The sequence below is a fragment of the Homo sapiens genome, chromosome 19, assembly GCF_000001405.40.
Source record: "Homo sapiens chromosome 19, GRCh38.p14 Primary Assembly".
Lineage (NCBI taxonomy): Eukaryota > Metazoa > Chordata > Mammalia > Primates > Hominidae > Homo > Homo sapiens.
This window is the reverse complement of record NC_000019.10, coordinates 22253166-22275728: the sequence shown is the minus strand read 5'-3', so window position 1 is coordinate 22275728 and position 22563 is coordinate 22253166. Positions and strand designations below refer to the sequence as shown.

General features: G+C 43.4%; 1 protein-coding gene across 10 annotated transcripts in view; it reads left to right on the top strand.

Annotated features, from left to right (window-relative positions):
• The first annotated feature begins 15424 nt into the window (after positions 1-15424).
• The window catches only part of ZNF676 (zinc finger protein 676), an 81216-nt gene continuing 74077 nt past the window's right edge, over positions 15425-22563 (top strand). For 4 of the 10 annotated variants that reach the window (XR_007066658.1, XR_007066657.1, XR_007066656.1 and 1 more), the window contains exons 1-3: positions 16982-17171; positions 17275-17399; positions 18934-19010. The gene's annotated coding sequence lies outside the window, so the exon portion shown is untranslated. Of the gene's footprint in view, positions 15768-16010; positions 16958-16981; positions 17172-17274; positions 17400-18631; positions 18713-18933; positions 19011-20538; positions 20690-22563 lie in introns of those variants that run through there. The other 6 variants (XR_007066663.1, XR_007066662.1, XR_007066655.1 and 3 more) reach the window with 4 other exon arrangements.

Below are 22563 nucleotides of genomic sequence, written 5' to 3'. Positions count from 1 at the left end.
TATTAGGAAATTATTTTAGTCACTTAGCAAGTGTAAAAATGTTCTCAGTGAAATTTTTCTTTAATAGAAATCAGCCAAAAACCATCTCTTTTCTAACATAAAGCAGCCTGAAAAGTCAAGCTACAAGCATAGATAAGCAAGCTAGAACCCTGCATAGATGAACGTGGGCAGCTGTACTGAAAGCCAGGTCCACCCAATATGGCAATTCCCCCTTCCTTTTCTTTGTCCCCTCGTGTGCAGTTGTCATGGATCCAGCCAGGTAGAGGCCACATTTGCATAATAAAAGATTGGGGTGGGAAGGCAAGTTTTTTTGCAGGTTATGTAAATGGTACACCCGGTCAAACCAATCTTTTGAACCCTATGTAAATCAATCACCCCCTCTTCAAGCCTCTTTTAAAAGTCAATTGCATCCTGGAAACCTTGGGTGCCCCACTTTCTCTGCATGAGAAAGCTCTCTCTCTCCCTCTCTTTCTTCTTTCTTTCATCTATTAAACTTTCTGCTCTTTAAACACACTCCAAGTGTGTGTGTCTGTGTCATTAACCTTCTCAGCATTAGATGATGAACCCTGGGTATTTACCCCAGACAACAATGCTGCTTCACCAGCTCCTTTTTTTACCTCTGGTAGAATTCAACCATTAGTCCATCTGGTTCTGGGCTTTTTGTGTGTGTTTTTTTGGTTGGTAGGCTATTTATTACTGCCTAAATTTCAGAACTTAGTTGGTCTTTTCAAGGATTTGACTTCTTCCTGGTTTAGTCTTGGGAGGGTTTATGTGTCCAGAAATTGATCCATTTCTTCTAGATTTTTTAGTTTATTTGCATAGAGGTGTTTATAGTATTCTCTGTTAGTAGTTTATACTTTTGTGGGGTCACTGGTGATATCCTATTTATCATTTTTTATTGGGTTTGATTCTTCTCTCTTTTATTCTTTATTAGTCTAGCTAGTGGTCTATGTATTTTATTAATTTCTTCAAAAGAGCCAGCTCCTGGGCCAGCCATGGTGGCTCATGCCTGTAATCCCAGCATTTTGAGAGGCAGATCAACTGAAGTCAGGAGTTCGAGACCAGCCTGCCCAACAGAGTGAAACCCCGTCTCTCCTAAAAATATAAAAATTAGCCAAGCTTGGTGGTGCATACCTGTAATCCCAGCTACTCAGGAGGCTGAGGCAGGAGAATCATTTGAACCCAGGAGGCCAAGGTTGCAGTGAGCCAAGATCTTGCCACTGCACTGCAGCCCGGGCAACAAGTGTGAGACTCCGTCTCAAAAAACAAAACAAAACAAAGCAAAACAAAACAAAACAAAACAAAAATCCAGCTCCTGAATTCATTGATCTTTTGAAGGTTTTTTGTGTCTCTATCTCCCTATCTTCCTCAGTTTTGCTCTGATCTTAGTCATTTCTTATCCTCTGCTAGCTTTTAAATTTATTTGCTTTTGCCTCTCTAGTTCTTTTAGTTGTAATGTTAGGGTGTTGATTTGAGATCTTTCTAGCTTTCTAATGTAAGCATTTAGTGCTATAAATTTCCCTCTTAACACTGCTGTAGCTGCATCCCAGAGATTCTGGTACATTGTTTTTTTGTTCTCATTGACTTTAAAGAACTTCGTGATTTCTGCCTTAATTTCATTATTTACCCAGAAGTCATTCAGAAGCAGGTTGTCCAATTCGCATGTAGTTGTGTAGTTTTGAGTGAGTTTCTTAATCTTGAGTTTTAATTTGATTGCACTGTGGTCTGAGAGACAGTATCATATAATTTGAGTCCTTTTACATTTTCTGAAGAGTGTTTTACTTCCAATTATACAATCAATTTTAGAGTAAGTTCCATGTGGCACTGAGAACAATGTATATTCTGTTGTTTTGGGGTGGAGAGTTCTGTAAATATCTATCAGGTCCACTTGATCCAGAGCTGTGTTTAAGTCCTGAATATTCTTATTAATTTTCTTTCTCATTGATCTAATATTGATAGTGGGGTGGTAATGTCTCCCTGTATTATTGTATGGAAGTCTAAGTCTCTTTGTAGGTCTCCAAGAACTTGTTTCATGAATCTGTGTGCACCTGTATTGAATGCCTATATATTTAGGATAGGTAGCTCTTCTTGTTGAATTGATTCCTTTATAATTATTAAGGGAAGAGACCACCCCTAATATTGTCTTATACCCAATTTCTGCCTCCAAAGAAAGAAGAAGTAAAAACTAAAAGGCAGAAATGAAATCTACAGGCAGACAGCCCAGCGCCGTGCCCTGGGCCTGGTTAAAGTATGACGCCTGACCTAACTGGTTATGTTATCTATAGATTCCAGACATTGTATGGAAAAGCATTGTGAAAATCCCTGTCTTGTTCTGTTCCATTCTGATTAATGGTGCATTCAGCCCCCAGTCACATACCCCCTGCTTGCTCAGTTGATCATGACCCTCTCACACTGAACCCCTTACAGTTGTAAGCCCTTAAAAGGACAGGAACTGCTCACTCGGGGAGCTTGGTTTTTGGAGACGTGAGTCTTGCTGAAGCTCCCAGCTGAATAAAGCCCTTCCTTCTTTAACTTGGTGTCTGAGGGGTTTTGTCTGTGGCTTGTCCTGCTACATTTCTTGGTTCCCTGACTGGGAAGCGAGGTGATTAATGGATGGACCGTTGAGGCAGCCCCTTAGGTGGCTTAGGCCTGCCCTGTGGAGCATCCCTATGGGGAACTCCGGCCAGCTTGAGTGACGTGGATCCTGAGAGTGCTCCTGGGTAGGCATTTGCCTCGGTGGAATGCCTTGTCAGAGTGGTGCAAGGCAGGCCCCCACGGAGGATCAATGCAGTGGCTGAACACTGGGAAGGAAATGGCACTTGGAGTCCAGACATCTGAAACTTGGTAAGACTGGTCTTTGTAACTTGCCTACTCCATTTGAGTGGAAGTGTGGCCTGATCACCCACAATGTGCCTGTACCAGCACTTTGGTTTTTGTTTTTGACTTGATTTGGATTGCTCGATACTTTGGTTTTGGTTTTGACCTGGCTTGGATTTCTTGATACTCTGATTTTGGTTTTGATTCTGGTTTGGTGTAAACTGTAAAAGTATGTGTGTGCCCTTTTAACCCGTTCTTTGTTTTGTGGTATGCATGTGGTGTGAGCATGGTGTCTTGTCTCAAGAAAGCATGGGTCAGGCACAAAGTAAGCCCACCCCACCAGGAACTATGTTGAAAAATTTCAAGAAAGGATCTAAGGGAGACTATGGAGTACTATGACAGCAGGAAAACTTAAAACTTTGTGTAAGATAGACTGGCATTAGAGGTGGGTTGACTATCAGAAGGAAGCCTGGACAGGTCCCGTGTTACAAAGGTATGGCACAAGGTAACCTGTAAGCCAGGACACCCAGACCAGTTCCTGTATATAGACACTTGGTTACAGCTGGTTTTAGACCCCCCCCCCACCCCACAGTGGTTGAGAGAACAGCAGCATAAGCAGCTTGCAGAGGCAAGGAAAGACCAGCAGAGAGAGAGAGAGGAAAGAGACAGAGAGAAAAAGAAGCAAAGAGAGAGAGGAAAAGACAGAGAGGAAGAGACAGAGAGACAAAGAGGGAGTCAAGAAGAGAGAGAGAGAAAGAGAGAGGCAGAGAGAGAGGAAGAGACAAAGGCAAAAGGAAAGCCAAAGAGAGAGAGAGACAGAAAGTCAAATATAATTGATAATTGAAGGTCTTCTCCATGACCCTACAACACTCCAATACCACCTTGTAAGTGTAAACAAGGGCGTAGTCCGAAAGCACTGAGGCCCCTGACAACCTGTAGCCTTCCTATCAAAAATCCTTAACCCAGTAACCCAAAGATGGCCCAAATGCATTCAATCTGTAGTGGCAACTGCTTTGCTCACAGAAGAAAGTAGAAAAATAATTTAGAGGAAACCTCATTGTGAGCACACCTCACCAGTTCAGAAGTATCCTGAGTTAAAAAAAAAAAAAAAAAAAGACTTAACATTAACCGCTGAAAATTCACTTAACCCAGCAGGTTTCCTAACAGGGGATCTAAATCTTAATTACCATACAAAGGTCCAACCAGACCTAGGAGGAACTCCCTTCAGGACAGGATGATAGATGTTTCCTACTGGGTAAATGAAAAAAAAAAAAAAAGCCATCTATACCAATTTTAAGTTAATTTGGACTAAACAAGGTCCTATTAATAGCAAAGGATAGTTGGAATCTCAAATTTACAAGGTTTTCAACAAAAGTAAAGTTTGCTAAAAGTTAATAGTGTAACATGTATTATAGTAACTTTTAATCTTGTGGCCTTAGACAGTCTGGTCCACAGACATAAAGCAAGTTTGCTTTTTGAAAAGAATGGTTGTCATCTTAAAAAAAAAAAAAAGGGAAAAAAAGGGGGGGCAGAATTTATGTAAAAAGAATGTTATATGGTAAATTATTGTCCTGAAACAAATTAACTGGTTGTTTAAAGAAAGAAATGTTTGTAATAAGTCAGAAAGTTGAGGCATGTCGAAGAATTATCTGCAAAAGTCGTGAAAGAGAAAAAAAGTTATAAAAAAGAAATTATGCAAGAAATGTTGTATATTTTAAAAGTAATTAGGCCTCCTGAGTACTATTGAAGAAACAGTTTATGTGCAAGGTGTATAAGGAAACTAAAATATACCTTTGGTAAAATGATTATAAGGAGGCATAAGAATGTAAATTTTTACCTACATTGAAAGGTTAAAAAAAATTTGTTTTGAAGGTTTAAGCAAGTTTTAAAATGTTAATTATAAAGAAAATTCTGTGTGTTAACATATTAGCTAAAGTTAAAGGGGTATCATCCAGTTTTTCTGTGAACTGGACATTAAAGTAAAAACACAACAGATTTTTCTTAAAGCACTAACCTGCTCTTCAAGAAAGATTATAAAAGGTTAAAAAGAGTCTATAAAAATCTTACCTTATGGTCTGACATTAAAAATTGAATAAACATGTCTACAAAGTTTTAATAAAACTAAGTTTAACATTAATAACACACTAATATAAAGGTGACATTTAGCTTATCTGGTATAAAAATCATACAGGAAGCATTGTCAACTATAAGATGGTGTTTGGCTTCTTTGGTCTAAAAACTAATGAAAATAGATGCTAAAGGAAATTTCTCAGTAAAAGGCACCAAGGACTGTAAAGTCCTCTGCTGACGGACTTTTAAAACAAAAAGGTCAATTTAAAAAAAAGGTCAGTTTCTTAAGAATCATATACTTGGTTTATCTTCCACTTTCCCTTCCCTCAAAACTAAAAGTCTTTTAGCACATGTACCACTCCAAGAATTTCCGGCAAACCAGCACCAGCCTGAAGATCACGTTCTTATCAAAGGGTGAAAAGAAAGGAAACTCGAGCCAGCCTAGGAAGGACCCTACTTTGTGCTGTTAACCACCAAGACTGCTGTTTGTACAGTGAAAAAATGATGGACTCATCACACCCGAGTCAAGAAAGCACCACCCCCTCCAGAGTCATGGGCCATAGTCCCAGCGGAAAACTCTACCAAACTAAAGCTGAGAAAAATTTAACTCTTTCATCTATTCTATTACTCTTTCTTTTTTCCTTGCTCTATTGCTGACCTTCTAGGGTTATTAACATAACCAAGTCAATTTCGCCTCAAGCCATTGCCTTTAATGCTTGCGTTGTTATACCCTGTGGGGAATTGCCAAGTCAAAGACAGCTCTCTACTTCAGAAAAGTACCTCTGTCCCTCCTGACTCTCCTCAGACTGGGCATTAGTAAATTAGGACCATTTAATCTGGGGAAATTTTGATAAAGACTCCAATGTCAACCAGGATTCTTGGCCCCCAATGTAGAGCTTTTATGCCATAGCTGGTCCAACTTTCTGTGGACCACTAAAGAGCAAGGATGGACTGCCCCAACCAGTTTTTGTAATTTCCTAAAATCATACATTCATTTTACTAGAGGATCATAGAAGTTAAAGACTTAAAACAAACTTTGGCAATTAAGACAGGATACCAAGATGCAAATGCCTGGTTGGAATGGATCAAATATTCCATCCACACATTAAACAAAGACAATTGTTATGCTTGAGCACATGGCAGGCCAGAGGCCCTGATTGTCCCCTTTCCACTAAGGTGGTCCTCCAGTTGCCCAGGCATGGGCTGTATGGTAGCTGTTTTCCAGCATTCTATAGCCTGGAGTAATAAGTCATGCCAAGCTCTCTCTGCTATATCCCTAAGTCTGGCACCCTGTGGATCTGCCCCCAAGGGCCATCCAGCTTCCATCTCCCAACACTAAGTTCACTTTGCATCTCTCATGATAGGGAGGAAACTTAGCATTCCTTGGAAACCTGAAGGGATGTACTGAGCTTAAGAATTTTCAAGAGCTTATCAATCAGTCAGCCCTTTGTTCATCCTGGCATGGATGTGTGGTGGTATTGTGATGGACCTTTACTGGGCACTCTGCCAAATAACTGGAGTGGAATTTGTACTTTAGTCCAATTGGCTATCCCTTTCACCCTGGCATTTCATCAACAAGAGGGAGGAAAAATAAGACACCATAAAGTGAGAGAAGCCCCTTATGGGTCTTTCGACTCTCACATCTATTTAGATGTAATTGGAGTCCCATGGGGAATACCAGATCAATTTAAAGCTTGAAATCAAATAGCTGCAGGATTTGAGACAATATTTTGGTGGACGACACTTAATAAAAATGTAGATTGGATAAACTACTTCTATTATAACCAACAGCAATGAGCTTTTCATGAGTTAAAAGAAAAACTGATGTTGGCCCCAGCCCTGGGGATACCTGACTTGACAAAACCCTTTACACTCTATGTGTCAGAAAGAGAAATAATGGCAGTTGGAGTTTCAACCCAGGCTGTGGGGCCCTGGCCAAGGCCAGTGGCCTATCTCTCAAAACAACTAGATGGGGTTTCCAAAGGCTGGCCTCCATGTCTAAGGGCTCTGGCAGCAACCCCACATATTGTCTTTTGCCCAATTTCTGCCTCCAAAGAAAGAAGAAGTAAAAACTAAAGGCAGAAATGAAATCCACAGGCAGACAGCCTGGTGTCTCACCCTGGGCCTGGTTAAAGATTGACCCCTAACCTAATTGGTTATGTTATGTATAGATTCCAGACATTGTATGGAAAAGCATTGTGAAAATCCCTGTCCTGTTCTGTTCCATTCTGATTACCAGTGCATGCAGTCCCCAGTCACGTACCCCCTGCTTGCTCAATTGATCATGACCCTCTCATATGGACCCCCTTAGAGTTGTAAGCCCTTAAAAGAGACAGGAATTGCTCACTGGGGGAGCTCGGTTTTTGGAGACATGAGTCTTGCTGAAGCTCCCGGCCGAATAAAGCCCTTCCTTCTTTAACTCGGTGTCTGAGGGGTTTTGTCTGCAGTTTGTCTTGCTACCTTATGTAATGCCCTTCTTTGCTTTTTTTGATCTTTGTTGGTTTAAAGCCTGTTTTGTAGGAAACTAGAATTGCCACCCCTGCTTTTTTCTGCTTCCCATTTGCTTAGTAAATTTTCCTTTTTTTTTTTTTTTTTTTATTTTGGGCATATGTGTGTCTTTGCATGTGAAACGAGTCTCTTGAATACAGCACACCAATAAATCTTTAATCTTCATCCAATTGGCCAGTCTATATCTTTTAATTGGTCCATTTAACCCATTTATGTTTAACGCTAATATTGTTATGTGTGAAGTTGATCCCATCATCATGATGCTAGCTGGTTATTTTGCACACTAGTTGATGCAGATTGTTCACAGTGTCATTGATCTTTGTATTTCAGTGTGTCTTTGCAGTGGCTGTTATGGGTGTTTGTTTGTTTGTTTGTTTTTTTCCATATTTAATGCTTCTTTCAGGAGTTCTAGCAAGGCAGGCCTTGTGGTGATGAATTCTTTCAGCATTTACTTGTCTGAAAAGGATTTTATTACTCCTTTGCTTATGAAGCTTAGTTTGCCTGGATATAAATTCTGGGTTGAAAATTAGTTTATTCCAGAATGTTAAATATTGGCCCCCCACTCTCTTCTGCTTGTAGAGTTTCTGCTGAGAGATCTGCTTTTAGTCTGATAGACTTCCCTTTGTAGATGACCTGACTTTTCTCTCTGGCTGGCCTTAGCATTTCTTCCTTCATTTCGACCCTGGAGAATCTGATGATTATATGTCTTGGGGTTGATCTTCTCATGAAGTATCATACTGAGGTTCTCTGTATTTTCTAAATTTGAATGTTGGTCTGTCTTTCTAGGTTGGGGAATTTCTCCTGGATGATCTCCTGAAGTGTGTTTTCCAGCTTGGTTTCATTCTCCCCATCTCTTTTGGGAACTCCAATCAGTCATAGGTTTGGTCTTTTTACATAGTCCCATAGTTCTCAAAGGTTTTGTTCATTCCTTTTTATTCTTTTTTCTCTCATCTTGTCTGCCTGCCTTATTTCAGCAAGATAGTCTTCAAGCTCTGATATTCTTTCTTCTGCTTGATAGCTTTGGCTACTGATACCTGTGTATACTTTACAAAGTTCTTGTGCTGTGTTTTCAGCTCCATCAGATCATTTATGTTTCTCTCTAAACTGGTTATTCCAGTTAGCAACTCATGTAATCTTTTATCATGGTTCTTATCTTCTTTGCATTGAGTGAGGACATGCATCTTTACCTCCTTGAAGTTTGTTATTACCCACTTTCTGAAGCCTACTTCTGTCAATTCATCAGTCTTTTCTCTGTTCAGATCTGTGCCCTTGCTGGAGAGGTGTTGTGATCATTTAGAGAGGAAGCACTCTGGTCTTTTGTGTGTTCAGCAATGTTGTGTTGATTCTTTCTTATCTTCATGAGTTTGTCCAGTTTTGATCTTTGAGGCTGCTGACTCTTAGCTGAAGTTTTTGTGGGGACTTTTTTTTTTTTCAAGATGGAGTCTTGCTCTGTCACCCCCGCTGGTGTGCAGTGGCATGATCTCAGCTCACTGCAACCTCCACCTCCTGGCTTCAAGCAATTCTACTGCCTCAGCCTCCCGAGTAGCTGGGATTACAGGTGCCCAGCATGGCACCTGGCTAATTTTTGTATTTTTAGTAGAGACGGGGTTTCACTATCTTGGCCAGGCTGGTCTGAAACTCCTGACCTCATGATCCACCTGCCTCAGCCTCCCAAAGTGCTGGGATTACAGTTGTGAGCCACCATGCCCGGCCATTGTAGGAACTTTTTTTGTTGACATTGTTGCTGTAGCCTTTTATTTGTTTTTCTTTCAATAGGCATGTTCCTCTTCTGTAAGGCTACAGTGGTTTGCTGGGGGTTCACTTCAGGCCTATTTATCTGGGTCACTCCTGCACCTGGAGATGCCCACAGAGAAAGCTGGAGAACAGCAAAGATGGGTGCCTCCTCCTTCCTCTGGGATTTCTGACTCCAAGGGACAGTGACCTAATGTCAGGAGGAATGCTTCTGTATAAAGTGTCTGGAGACCCCTATTGGGGGTCTCACACAGTTGAGGGCATGGGAACCAGGAACCATTTAAGGAAGCATTTTGGCTGTCCCTTGGTGGAGGGGGTGTGCTGTGGTGGAGGGAAACTGACTCATCTGGGCTGCCTGAATTTTGCAGAGCTAGCAAGAGGAAAGACTAAGTCTGCTGGTCCATGGAGACTATGGCAACCTCTCCCCCTAGGGGGTCAGGCCCAGGAAGATCAAGGTTTTGTCCCTGAGCTCCCAGCTGGAGTTGTTGGAGTTTCTGCAGGGAGGCCCCACTCAGTGAGAAGGGATGGATGAAGGTCTGGCCTAAAGAGAGAGTCAGGCCATTGTCTGCAACAGCTGGTGTGCTGTGCTGTGGGGAATGCCTCTTGGGACCAAGCGGTCTAACCTCCTTGGCTCCAACAGGGGAATAGCATGGCCTGGAGCTACAGTGATGACTGCCACCCTCCCCTGCACCCCAGGGGCTTAGTGTCATTGGTAGCTAGCAGCTGCAGTGATGGCTGCTGCCCCTCCCCAAGGGAGTTCAGATGACTTAGACAACAGGCAGCCACATTATGTAGCCCAGTCTGGTCTCAAACTCCTGGACTTAAGTAATCCTCCCACCTCAGCCTCCCAAAATGCTGGAATTACAGGCATGAGCCATCACATCCACACTGAGGTTTTATTTTTAATATCAAAATATAAAACAGCACGGACGTTCATTAATAGAATCCAAGGGAATATTATGCCAGTTAAAAAAGTAATTTCAAAAGCAAATACGAAAATTGAAAGCAAATTAAAATAAATAAAAATAACTAAATATTATATAGATAATATAACCAGAAAGAGAAACATTTAGTGCAGTAGCCAGGCACAGTGGCTCACGCCTGTAATCCCAGCACTTTGGGAGGCCGAGGAGGGCAGATTACAAGGGCAGGAGCTCGAGACCAGCCTGGCCAACACAGTGAAGCCCCATCTCTACTAAAAATACAAAAATTAGCTGGGCGTGGTGGCAGGCGCTTGTAAACCCAGCTATTTCGGAGGCTGAGGCAGGAGAATTGCTTGAACCCAGGAGGCGGAGGTTGCAGTGAGCCGAGATCGCACCATTGCACTCCAGCCTGGGTAACAGAGCTAGACTCTGTCTTGGAAAAAAAAAATATAATAATAATAAAGTGCAGTATACTAATGGGATATTTTTAGTGGGGAAGATTCTATTTCCATAAGAAATTCAAAATGAGATAATTTCCAGATTTTAGAAACTGATGCAAAACATATAAATATAGAAAGCCTCTAAGGTGATCCCATGATGTAGTATTACTTCAAATAAAAACTGGGCAAACTCAGCAAAAGGAAAGTTAAAGTTAATCTCAAGTGTCAGAATAGATACAGAAGTTCTAATAATATAATATTAAATGGAATCCAGAATTTTATTAAAAATATGTTATTTATGTATTGTATTATTAAAATGTAAATGTAATTAAAAATAGAAAATCTTTTGTTTTATTTAATTCCATAAAAGGTTAAAATGTGACCATTCTCTGTGATTTTGAAAGCAGCATTGTCTCAACAGATGTGTATTTGCATCTACATTTATCTACACATACATTTATATACTATCTGTCTACGTATTCTCCATCCATCCATTCATAGAATGTATAAAAAGGATGAATCTAAAATAGAGTGATTAAAAATAGAGTGATTAACAAAAGCATTTGAAATGTATTATCAGTTTATTACAGTGTCCAGATATTTATATGTTCAAATACAAAATATAAAATATTTTTATATATTCACACACAAAAACATAAAATATATTTATATGTTCATACACAAAATATAAAATAAGTTTATCTTATCAACTCTTCCAGATAAGTTAATAAAATATTTTAAAACTATGCAGCTATGGTTATTAGCTGAAAATAGGAAATAATATATTTATTTGTACAACTAATAGAAATGCTATTTCAACTGAATATAAAATACAAAAATATCACTGAAAAAGGCAAATAATGTACATTATCTAAAAAATAAACAACTCTGTGTAATGTACATTATCTAAAAAATAAACAACTCTGTGCTACAAGAGTTATGCAGCACACAGGAATCATATATAAATATCAATTAATTATATGTATTTTTTTTTTTGAGATGGAGTCTCGCTCAGTTGCCCAGGCCGGAGTGCAGTGGTGCTATTTCAACTCACTGCAAGCTCCGCCTCCCGGGTTCACACCATTCTCCTACCTCAGCCTCCGGAGTAGCTGGGACTACAGGTGTCCGCCACCATGCCCAGCTATTTTTTATTTTTATTTTTAGTAGAGACGGGGTTTCACTGTGTTAGCCAGGATGGTCTCGATCTCCTGACCTTGTGATCCTGCCCACCTCGGCCTCCCAAAGTGCTGGGATTACAGGTGTGAGCCACCACGCCCAGCCAACTATTTACATGTATTTTTTGAGACAGGATCTCACTCTATCACTTAGGCTGGAGTGCTGTGGTTTGATGGTGGCATGAGCAACCACATCTTACCTAGCTATAGACATTTTAAATAATTTCAGTGTGAAATACTAAACATAATTCAAAATGTATTTTCCTTATATGCAATGAGGTAAACAGAGTTTCAAGATCCAAATGATGAGTGAAAAAGAATTCCAACAACCTGCGGCATGATAATGCAAACAGCTCACATGTGTGCCGCACTCTCACTGTGCCAGCCTGTGTTTAGAAGCATTTTAGATACTTTTGCGCATTAAATTCTCATCAGAAATAACTCAGGTAAGTTTAATTAATCTCCATGTCACAGACAAGGTGACTGAAAGGAAAAAAGTTCAGGACTTATCCAAGGTCACCCAGACAGGAAATGGGTGAGCTAAGGTGTGCTCTGACCTACTCCTGCTTCCCTGGCATAGACAGAGCCATTGTTCATTGATTAAACAACTGCTCATTGAGCACCTCCCACGGGCCGAGCACTGTGCTTGGCACTGGGAACACAGTGGTGAACTAGACACAGCTGCCAGGAACAAACACTAAAGAAGTAAACAACAAACAGCAAGATTATTGCAGAAAATGTCAAGTTACCAAGACATGCTGCTGCTGTAAAAGATGGGCGTGCACAGGCCTACCGGGAGTGGGTTCTAGTTGGAAGGACGAGGGTGGAGCAAACCTCCCCAGGAAGAGTCAGAGCTGAGCCTAGACTGGAGGCTCCTGTCAGTGTGAGGATGTGGTTAGAGTCTGTCTCAGTTTCTTTCTATGCAGCCCCTAAAATCTTTGGAATGTCTGAAATGAGAAGTGTCTATTGCATGTAGGCACTGGTCCTCACATACATTAGAGAACAGAACTCTTGCTGTGCCCACAGCCAGGGAAAGGCGGGCAATGTCTATCTACCTCGTGGGTCCTAGAGCACCTTGTCCTGCCAGGACACTCACCGTCACCCTCACCCCCATAAGGTACAGATGGCAACCAGGGTGCCGCATACCACCCACTGGTGCACCCCAAAGGATGCTGAGTCCTGTAGGGGCCGTGGGCCTGAATAGTGTTTCCTAGTCACAGAGTCTTTCTGATTTTTTTCACTCACTAGCCCTGTGCCTCCGTTTCCCTCATTGTGGCACAAAGTCAACATCCCATTCTGCAGGCTAGGTGACCCAGAGATGTCACCACAGCCCATTAAATGACTATAGCATGTGAAAGTGGGAAGTGAGAGTCCCTCCCTGCTCTGGGTCTTTTGCCCCAGGACAGATGTTTATCAGGCCAGCTGCCTGGGGAGGGCCACATCTCCTGCTTTGGGAGCATTGTTTCCAAATTGAAGTCACTACGGTTAAGGACTCCCAATGCATTGGGGGAGGCACAGGGGTGGGATGGGGTAGAACAACACCGCATCACAAGAGCCTTGGATCCACCCCGGAGAGCGAGAATCAATTTCAGACTCCTGTCTGAAGCTGACCACCCTGAGGAATTAGGATTTGGGGATAAGACAAAGTCCTTGGTTCAGAAAACAAGATCTTCTGGTTCTGGACTCTGTAGCTGTCCTGGGTAGGGGACTTGTTTCCAACTATGTGCTTTAATTGAACCTAAGGGGATGGGGCACCCATAAGGGACTCTGAAGCCAAGGGTGAGTCCTACCTTCTGCCTCCCAAACTCTCTCTCCAATAGTAGATATTGGGCGGCAAAATGTCTTTACCAAGAAAAAAAAAATATCCAGAGACCAGGCAGGCTAATAAATGCTTACCAGGATTATCTGGCCTAATCATCACAACAGTCATATTCGTCCTCTGGGACAGGTGAGGAAACTGAGGTTGGAGGAGGACACCGAGAGCCTGGTCGGGCCACTGGCAGCCTGGAGCCCCAGAGGCCCAGGCATTCACCACCCTCCAACCCCCTCTCTCCCTCCCGGCCCCAGGAGTCTTCATTCCCAGCTCATTCACTTGTCAATCACTCAGACTCGCTGGGCCTCCAGCAGGGCCGCCCCTTCTCCGCCCGCTTGTCCCTCCCCACCCGCAGCTCTTCCGTCCCGCGCGGCTCGTTGGCCTGGGCTCCAAGGCGGGGCCGCCCACGAAAGCCACTGGCAGGGACGGCTCCGAGTCCGAGCCCCCGACACCCCCGCCCCGCCCGCCCCGCCCGCCCCGCCCGCACCCGCTCGGTCCCTTGGGCTGGGGGCCCAGGCAGGGCGGGCGCGACCCAAGGCCACCGCGCACGGCCTGAGCCGAAATCCCAACCCCAGATCGCAGGAACCCCCGCCTTCCAGGCACCAGGATGGGCCCTCCTGGCGGGTGGTTGGGGACCCGGGTGTGTATCTGTGGGAATAATTGGTCAAAAGTGGCTTTTTGTTTTCCCAAAGGTAAAGCCTCCTTCGTAATTACGTATTTTCTTCTTACTTAAAACGGAATCTCATTATTTAGATATACCCATGATTGTGTCAGTGAATTTGAGTATACTTTTTAAAGTTTTTCTCAGTTTAGTCCTTATGTTTGTTTCTATTTTAAGAATTTTAAATTCTACCTAAAATTAGTAAAGTGAACCCCAAAGTATCTGAGACAGGTCTCAATTTAGAAAGTTTATTTTGCCAAGATTAAAGACACACCCGTGACACCGCCTCACGAGGTCGTGACAACGCGGGCCTAAGGTGGTTGGGTCACAGCTTGATTTTATACATTTTAGGAGTCAGGAGACATTAATCGATATATGGAAGGTGTACATTGTCCAGGAAAGTGGGAGAACTCGAAGCAGGGCGGGAGCTGCCAGGTCATAGGTAGATAAAGGACTAATGGTTGCAATTTTTCTGAGATTCTGATTAGCCTTTTACTGGGGTATTTCCAGGTCTGTCTTTCCTAAACTTGCCCAAGAGAAAGTTGACACCAAGTTTGTATAATTTTAATCTATTTTTGCCAATTTTTTGTCTATTTCATAACATACAACAACGGGTAATTTAACCAAAACCCTTATGGTTTTCTAGCACAATTATAAGCTACACATGTATTCTTAGCAAGGTAAAAGCAATAGAAACAATGATGATAAAATAACAACTTTTCGTGCATGAATAGCCCTTCAGCTGGTGACTTCACAGAGCCCACTGTTGAGGTTCCGAATCCTACACCCAAAGGTGGTCAAAAGATGGAAAATTGACTTGCACACATGGATCTGGTTTACAGGCTGGTTGTTGACTCTCACACCATGACTCAGCAAACCTGTAAGGCTGTGACTTTACTAAGAAGACAAAGTTTGCAGGAAGAATAGAGGCTTTGATGCAGTCTACTGTTGAGATTGTGACTCATGTACTTAGACTCAACATTCAGGAGGTGTTGACCCTCATACCTAGAACTGGGACATGTGTGGAATTATTATTATCATTATTTTCTTTCTTTTTTTGAGATGGACTGTTGCTCTGTCACCCACGTTGGAGTGCAGTGGCATGATCTCGGCTCACTGCAACCTCCACCTCCTAGGTTCAAGCGTTTCTTCTTTCTCAGCCTCCTGAGCAGCTGGGATTACAGGCATGTGCCACAATGCCCGGCTAATTTTTGTGTTTTTAGTAGAGACAGGGTTTTGCCATGTTGGCCAGGCTGGTCTCAAACTCCTGACCTCAGGTGATCCGTCTACCTCAGCCTCCCAAATTGCTGGGATTACAGGTGTGAGCCGCTGTGTGGAGTTACTAATTATTAGATGCTGGCCACCGCTGGGCAGGGGTTGGGCTCAGCTGACACCCTACATCCACCACCAGATTCCAGCCTCTGACTTTGGGGAATCTGGCCGGGACCTGGGGTCTGGGGCCAGAACTGTGGACACCCTGCCATGTGTGGAATTATTAATCTTACCCCCGAATCTTCCTGCATCTCCCAGCACCTGAGTGACTTGACTTTTTTGTGAGGTCTTAGCTGACAAATTGGATTGCGGCATATCACAGGATCCAGCACCTAGGTAATGTGACAGTATTCTCCTGCCTTGGCACTACCTACTTGGGGCTTTGTGACATATGTCTGTGCTCATAACTAAGGTGATATGATTCTCTTCTCTTACCTGGTCTCTGCTCACATGGGAGATAGTGACATATTGCTGGGCCCAATACCAAAGTGACATTACTCTTTTACCTTGACCTTCTTCTCAGAAAACATTGTGACATATTGTTGGGCCCACCACCAACATGATGTGAGTCTTCTGCGTGGTCCCTGACCACAGAGATCATCGTGACATATCTCTGAAAGCTCAAAACTATTTGAAGCGATTATCTTGTTATGCCAGCTCTTTGCCCATAGGAGAGAATGTAATATTTCTGTGGGCACAGCACCTAGTTGATGTAATTGTGCCTGGGCCATGTCTACAAAAGGAAGAATCATTTACCCATGGGTCCAGCACACAGGTGACTTCACTCTACTGCCTTGATTCTTGCCCACGAGAATCATCGTTACATATTTTTGGGCTCTCCTCCTAGATGATGTGAGACTTTTTTTCTTCCTGGGTCCTGTCCACAAAAGGAGATTGTGACATATCACTTGACCCAGCACCTATGTGATGTGACTCTCATCTGATGCCTTGGCTCTTCCCACTGGGCTGGTTGTGACATACAGCTGGGCACAGCTTCTAGGTTATGTGACTCTTCTCTTCTTCCTGAGTCCTGCCCACAGGGAGCATTGTGACATATCTCTAAACACTTCACCTAGATAATGGGACTCTTTCATCTGAGCCCTCCCCAAAGAGGCTATTGTGACATGTTTGGATCAAGCACCTAGGAGATGTTACTGTTCTCTCCTACCTGTTACCTGTTACTGGCAGTGAATCCGTATGGGTACAGGTCTGCTGCAACATTGACCCAGCAATAGGATGAGTTGGTGACTCTCAGACCAAGATTCAGGATACCTGAAACCTAAGAGACTTTGACTCCACTAAGGACACCCAGCGTGCAGGACAAATAGAAGCTCTCATGCAGAGATAAAGTCCCCAGTTGAGATTGTAACTCCTGAACATGTGCAGAATTGATAATCTCATTTATGGACCACCCTGCAGCTGTGATTGTGACATATGCCTTTGTCCAGCACTTGAGTGATTTGACTCTCCTGCCTGGGCTCAGGTCACAGATAGGATTGTGACACATCGCTGAACTCAGGACCTAGGTGATGGGAATCTATTCTCCTGACTTGGCATTGCCCATAGGGAACACTGTGACATATCACTGCACCCAACATCCAGGTTATGTGACTCTCCTGCCTGTGCCTTACATGGGCCATTGTGACATATTCCTGAGTGTAACACCCAGGTGATGTAAATCTCCTGCCTAGGCCTTGCCTACAGAGAGCATTCTGACGTATCGCTGTGACCATTACATAGGTGATGTGACTCTCCTTTCCTGCCTAGTTCCTGCTTACAGAGGGTATTGAAACAGACTGCCAGGTCCAGCACCTAGATAATGTGATTCCTCTCTTTTTTCTAGGTTTTGCCCACAGGGGACATTGTGACATATCACTGGGCCCAACACCAAGGTTATGTTACTCTCTTTCCTTGGTCCTGCTCTCAAACAACATTGTGAAATACTGCTGAACCCAGCACGAAGAAGATGTAAGTCTTCTGCCTGGACCCTGTTAACAAGGGGCACTGTGACATATCTCTGAGCCCATCAACTATTTGATGTGACTCTTCTCTTTTACCTGGGCTTTCTCCATAGAAGAGGTTGTGACATAACTCTGGGCCCAGCACCTAGGTAATGTGACTTTTTTCTTTTGCCTGGACCATGCCCACAGAGAAGAGAGTGACTTATTACTAAGCCCAGCACACATGATGTAATTCTTCTGCCTGGTCTTTGCTCACAGGAATAATTTTGACATATTTCTGATTTCATCACATGGTTGATGGCTGATGTGGCCAGTCTTTTTTTCAGTCCTGTCCACAATGGAGATTGCTACATATTGCTTGAGCCAGCTCCTACATGATGTGACTCTCTTGTCATGCCTGGGTGCTCCCCCACTGGGGTGATCATTACATATGGGTGAGCCCTGGACCTAGTTTATGTAATTTTTCTTTTCTTCCTAAGCCCTACGCACCTGAGGGCATTGTGACATATCTCTGAGCTCATCACCTAGGTGATGTGACTCTCCTGCCTGAGCCTGCTCCTCAGGGGGTATTGTTACATATTGTCAGACCAAGCAACTAGGTGATATGACTCTTCTCTACCACTTGTGCTCTGCCCAATAAGAAACTGTGATTTATCACTGGGCCCAGCACCTAGGTTATGTGACTCTCCTCTCCTGCCTGGGCTGTACATACATTGCTATTGTGACATGTGTCTGGGTGCAATGTCTGAGTCATTTGATTCTCCTGTATGGGCTCTGCCCCCAGGGACATTATTACCTATCATGTCGTTAGTCACCTAGGTGATGTGAATCACATTTTCTGCCTGGTCCCTGCCAGAAAGAATAATAGTGACTTATCACTGGACCCAGCATCTTAGTGATGTGACTCACCTCTTTTACCTGGGCCTTGCGTATTTTTGGTATTGGACATATTGCTGGGTCCAACACCTAGGAGATAAGAGACTTTTACCTTGACCCTGACTAGAGGGGGCTTATTGTATTTCTCAGCATCTATCTTGTAGGGGTTGTGCCTTTTTCCTGCCTGTTCTCTACCCTCAGGGAAGATTGTGACTGGGTCTGGCAACCAGGTCATGTGTTTCTCCAGCCTGGGCCTAGTCCACTGGGAAGCACTGTGACAATATTGCTGGTCCCAGAAACTAGGTGATGTGATTCTCCTGCCTAGTCTTTGCTTTCAAGGAAGATTGCAACATATTCCTGTCCCAGCACCCAGGTGATATAACAATACTGCTTGGACTCTTCCCTCAGGAGTTATTGTGACACATTGCTGGACTCAGCATTTAGGTGATGTGACTCCCCTTGCCTGCTTAGACTCTGCCCAAGGAGGGATTGTGATGTATCACTAGTCCTAGCACCTAGAAGATGTGACTCTCCTTTTATGTTTGGGCCCTGCCTACATTGTGTATTGTGACATATGGCTGGGTCCACCACCTAGTTGATGTGACTCTTATGCGTGGGTTCTATTTACAGGGGTATTAAGATATATTTTTTCATTCATCCCCTAGGTGATGTGCCTCTTCTCTTCTGCCTGGGCCCTGCCAATAAAAGGGGATTGTAATGAATCACTGGACCCAGAACCTAGGTGAGGTGACACTCCTATTTTGCCTGGGCCCTGCATATTTGGGTATTGTATCATATCACTGGACTCAACACATAGGGGATAGGAGGCACATGCATGCGTCCTGCTCACAGAAGGCCTTGTGACATATCTCTGCATCCATTACCAGTGAGATATGACTGTCCTCTTCTACCTGCACCCTGCCTATAGAGAAGACTGTAACATATTGCTGGGCCTACTGACCAGATGATGTGTTTCTTTTGCCTGAACCTTGCCCAAAGGGAGCATTGTGACATATCACTGGGCTCAGCACCCAGGTGATGTTCCTCTCCTGCCTGGTACCTTCTATCAGGGAATATTGTACAAATCTCTGGCCAAGCACCCAGGTGATAGTCCTCTCCTGCCTGGTCCCTTCTAGCGGGGAATATTGTACAAATCTCTGGCCAAGCACTCAGGTGATGTGACTCTCCTACTCACTACCTACTCACAGGTTACATGTCCCATCTCACAGGTGAGATGATGACTCTCATATCTTAAACCAGACGACAGTTGATATGCTGCTTCTCATAGCTAGGCTTAGGAAAATTGGTAAGATTCAGGGTCTCCTATTTTTATGAAGGTCAGAGGGGATTACCACACTCTCACCTATGGTATAAAGCCTTTGGATTGTACACAGTGTGTCATCACAGAGCCCAGCACACAGATGAGATTGACTTGCATGTATGGACAACCAAGCACCTGTTAAAATTGTGACCCTCACAGGTGGACAGACTGCAATTGTGAATCCCACACATGGATGCAGTCCACAGTTGGAATTGTGACTGTCATATGTGACCGTCCATCCAGATTTGGGATAGCAAAACTATTTTTTTTTTTTTTTTTGAGATGGAGTCTTGCTCTGTCACCCAGGCTGGAGTGCAGGAGTGCAGGAGTGCAGTGGCACTATCTCGGCTCACTGCAAGCTCTGCCTCCCAGGTATATGCCCTTCTCCTGCCTCAGCCTCTTGAGTAGCTGAGACAACAGGCACCCGCCACCACGCCTGGCTAATTTTTTGTATTTTTAGTAGAGACAGGGTTTCACCGTGTTAGCCAGGATGGTCTCGATCTCCTGACTTTGTGATTCACCCACCTCAGCCTCCCAAAGTGCTGGCATTACAAGTGTGAGCCACTGCACCCAGTGATAGCAAAACATTTTTAAATGCAGCTCATAGGAAAGTGAGGGCTCTCCTATCTGAACCCAGAAAATTGGAGAGATGTTGACTCTCATAACTGGGCTTAGAGACACAGATACAATCATAGGTTTATACCAGCATGAAAATCTCAAGCTGGATTGTGGCTCTCATGCAAACCATGTAAAGCCCTAGGGTAGTACAGAGAGTGTCCTAAAGGGCCAAGCACACAGGTGAGATTATGACACTCCTGTGCGCACCCTGACAATAGTAAAGATTGTCATTTTCCCACATGAACCCAGCCAATTTTGAGGTTCTGAACCTCACACCCAAAGGCAGTTGAAAGTTGAAAAATTGAATCACATACATGGATCTTGTCCACAGATGGGTTGGTGACTCTCAGACCAAGATTCAGCACACCTGTGAGCCTCTGACTCCACTGAGGGAACACAGTTCATGGGAGGGATTGAGGATTTAATACACAGATCCAGTTCACCTTTGAGATGGTGACTCGTGTAATTAGACACAACATACAGTAGGTATTGACTCTCGTACCTTGAACCAGATCATGTATGGGATCGTTAATCTCATTCTTACACCATCTTGCATGTGTGATTGTATCATACAGCTCTTCCCAGCAACTGAGTGATTTGACCCTTCTGCCTAGGTCCTACAGGTGAAATTGTGGCATATCACTGAACCCAGCATCTAGGTGGTGTGAGACTACACTTTTGCCTTAGCACTTTCCACAGAGGGCATTGTGACATTTTGCTGGCCCTAGAACCCAGGGGAAGTGACTTTCCTCTACTTCTTGGTCTCTGCCCAAGAACAGATTGTGATATGTCACTGGGCTTAACACCTAGGTGACGTGACTTTCCTCTCCTGCCTGGACCAAACACTTTTGTGATGCAAATCTGTTTGGGCCCTGCCTACAGAGGTATTATAACATATCTGTTCATTCATCACCTAGGTGATGTGACTCTTCTCTTCTGCTTGGGCCCTGACAAAATGGGGGATTTTGACACATCACTAAACCCAGCACTTAAGTGATGCTACTCTTCTGTTTTCCCTGGGCCCAGCATATCTTGGGTATTGTTACATATAGCTGGGCATCATTCCTTCAGGGTGGGAGGCTCCTGCCTGTGCCCTGCCCATGAGGGGCCTTGTAAGATGTCTCTTCCTCCATCACCTAAGAGATGTGACTCTCTTCTTTTGCCTGCATCCTGCCCACAGAAAATGTTGTAATGTATTGCTGGACCCAGTCACCAGATGATGTGTCTCTCCTGCCAAGGCTGTGCCCACAGAGAGCATTTTGACATATCACTGGGCTCAGCACCCAGGTGAAATGACTCTGCTGCCTGTACTCTGCTTTAAGAGGGGATTGTAATATATCTGTGGCTGAACACCTAGGTGATATGACTTCTGCCTGGTTTCTGACCTCAGGAAAGATTGTGACATATCTTTGCCAAAAACCTATGTGATGTGAATCTGCTGCTCACTTCCTACCCACAGGTAGAATTGTGACATATATTTTGTCCAGCTCACAGGTTTATTAAATGCTCTTATACCTCAAACCAGCCAATAGAAGAGATACTGTCTCCCATAACCAGACTTAGGAAAATGAGAGAGATTATGGGTCTTCTCTATGTATTAAGGTCATAAAAGACTACTATTTTTTACATATTATATAAAGCCCTTGAGTGGTACAGAAAGTGTCATTACAGGGCACACTAAACAGGTGAGACTGTGTTTCTTATATGCACATACCACCAACTGTTAAGACTGTCGCCCTCACAGATGGACAGACCCCATTGGAGAGGTCCTGAATTTCACACATTGACACAGCCCACAGTTTGGATTGTGACCGTCATATGTGAACATCCAGCTACAGTTGACATGGTGACTCATTTCTAATTCTGGCAAGTTAGATCCTTTCTACCTGGATGCATTCAATGGAGAGATGTTGACTCTTAGTCCTGGGTTTGGGGCCACAGGTAGGATCATGAGTCTGTAGATGCACAAAGTCTCAGAGCATACTGTGACTTTAATGTGTATATATACATATATATACACATTATCATATATATATGCAAATTATCATATATATACACACATTATCATATATATATACACATTATCATATATATATACATTATCATATATATATATACACATTATCATATATATATATATATATATATACACACACACACACACACACCCATTATCATATATACATATCCCTCAGGTGATACAAAGGGTGTCCTAACAGAGCATGGTATAGAGGTGCGATTATGACACTCATATATGTACCCAGCTGGCAGTAAATATTGTCATTCTTCCACATGAACACAGCTGACTGTTGAGGTTCTGAATCTCACATCCAAAGAAAGTTGAAGATGGAAAACT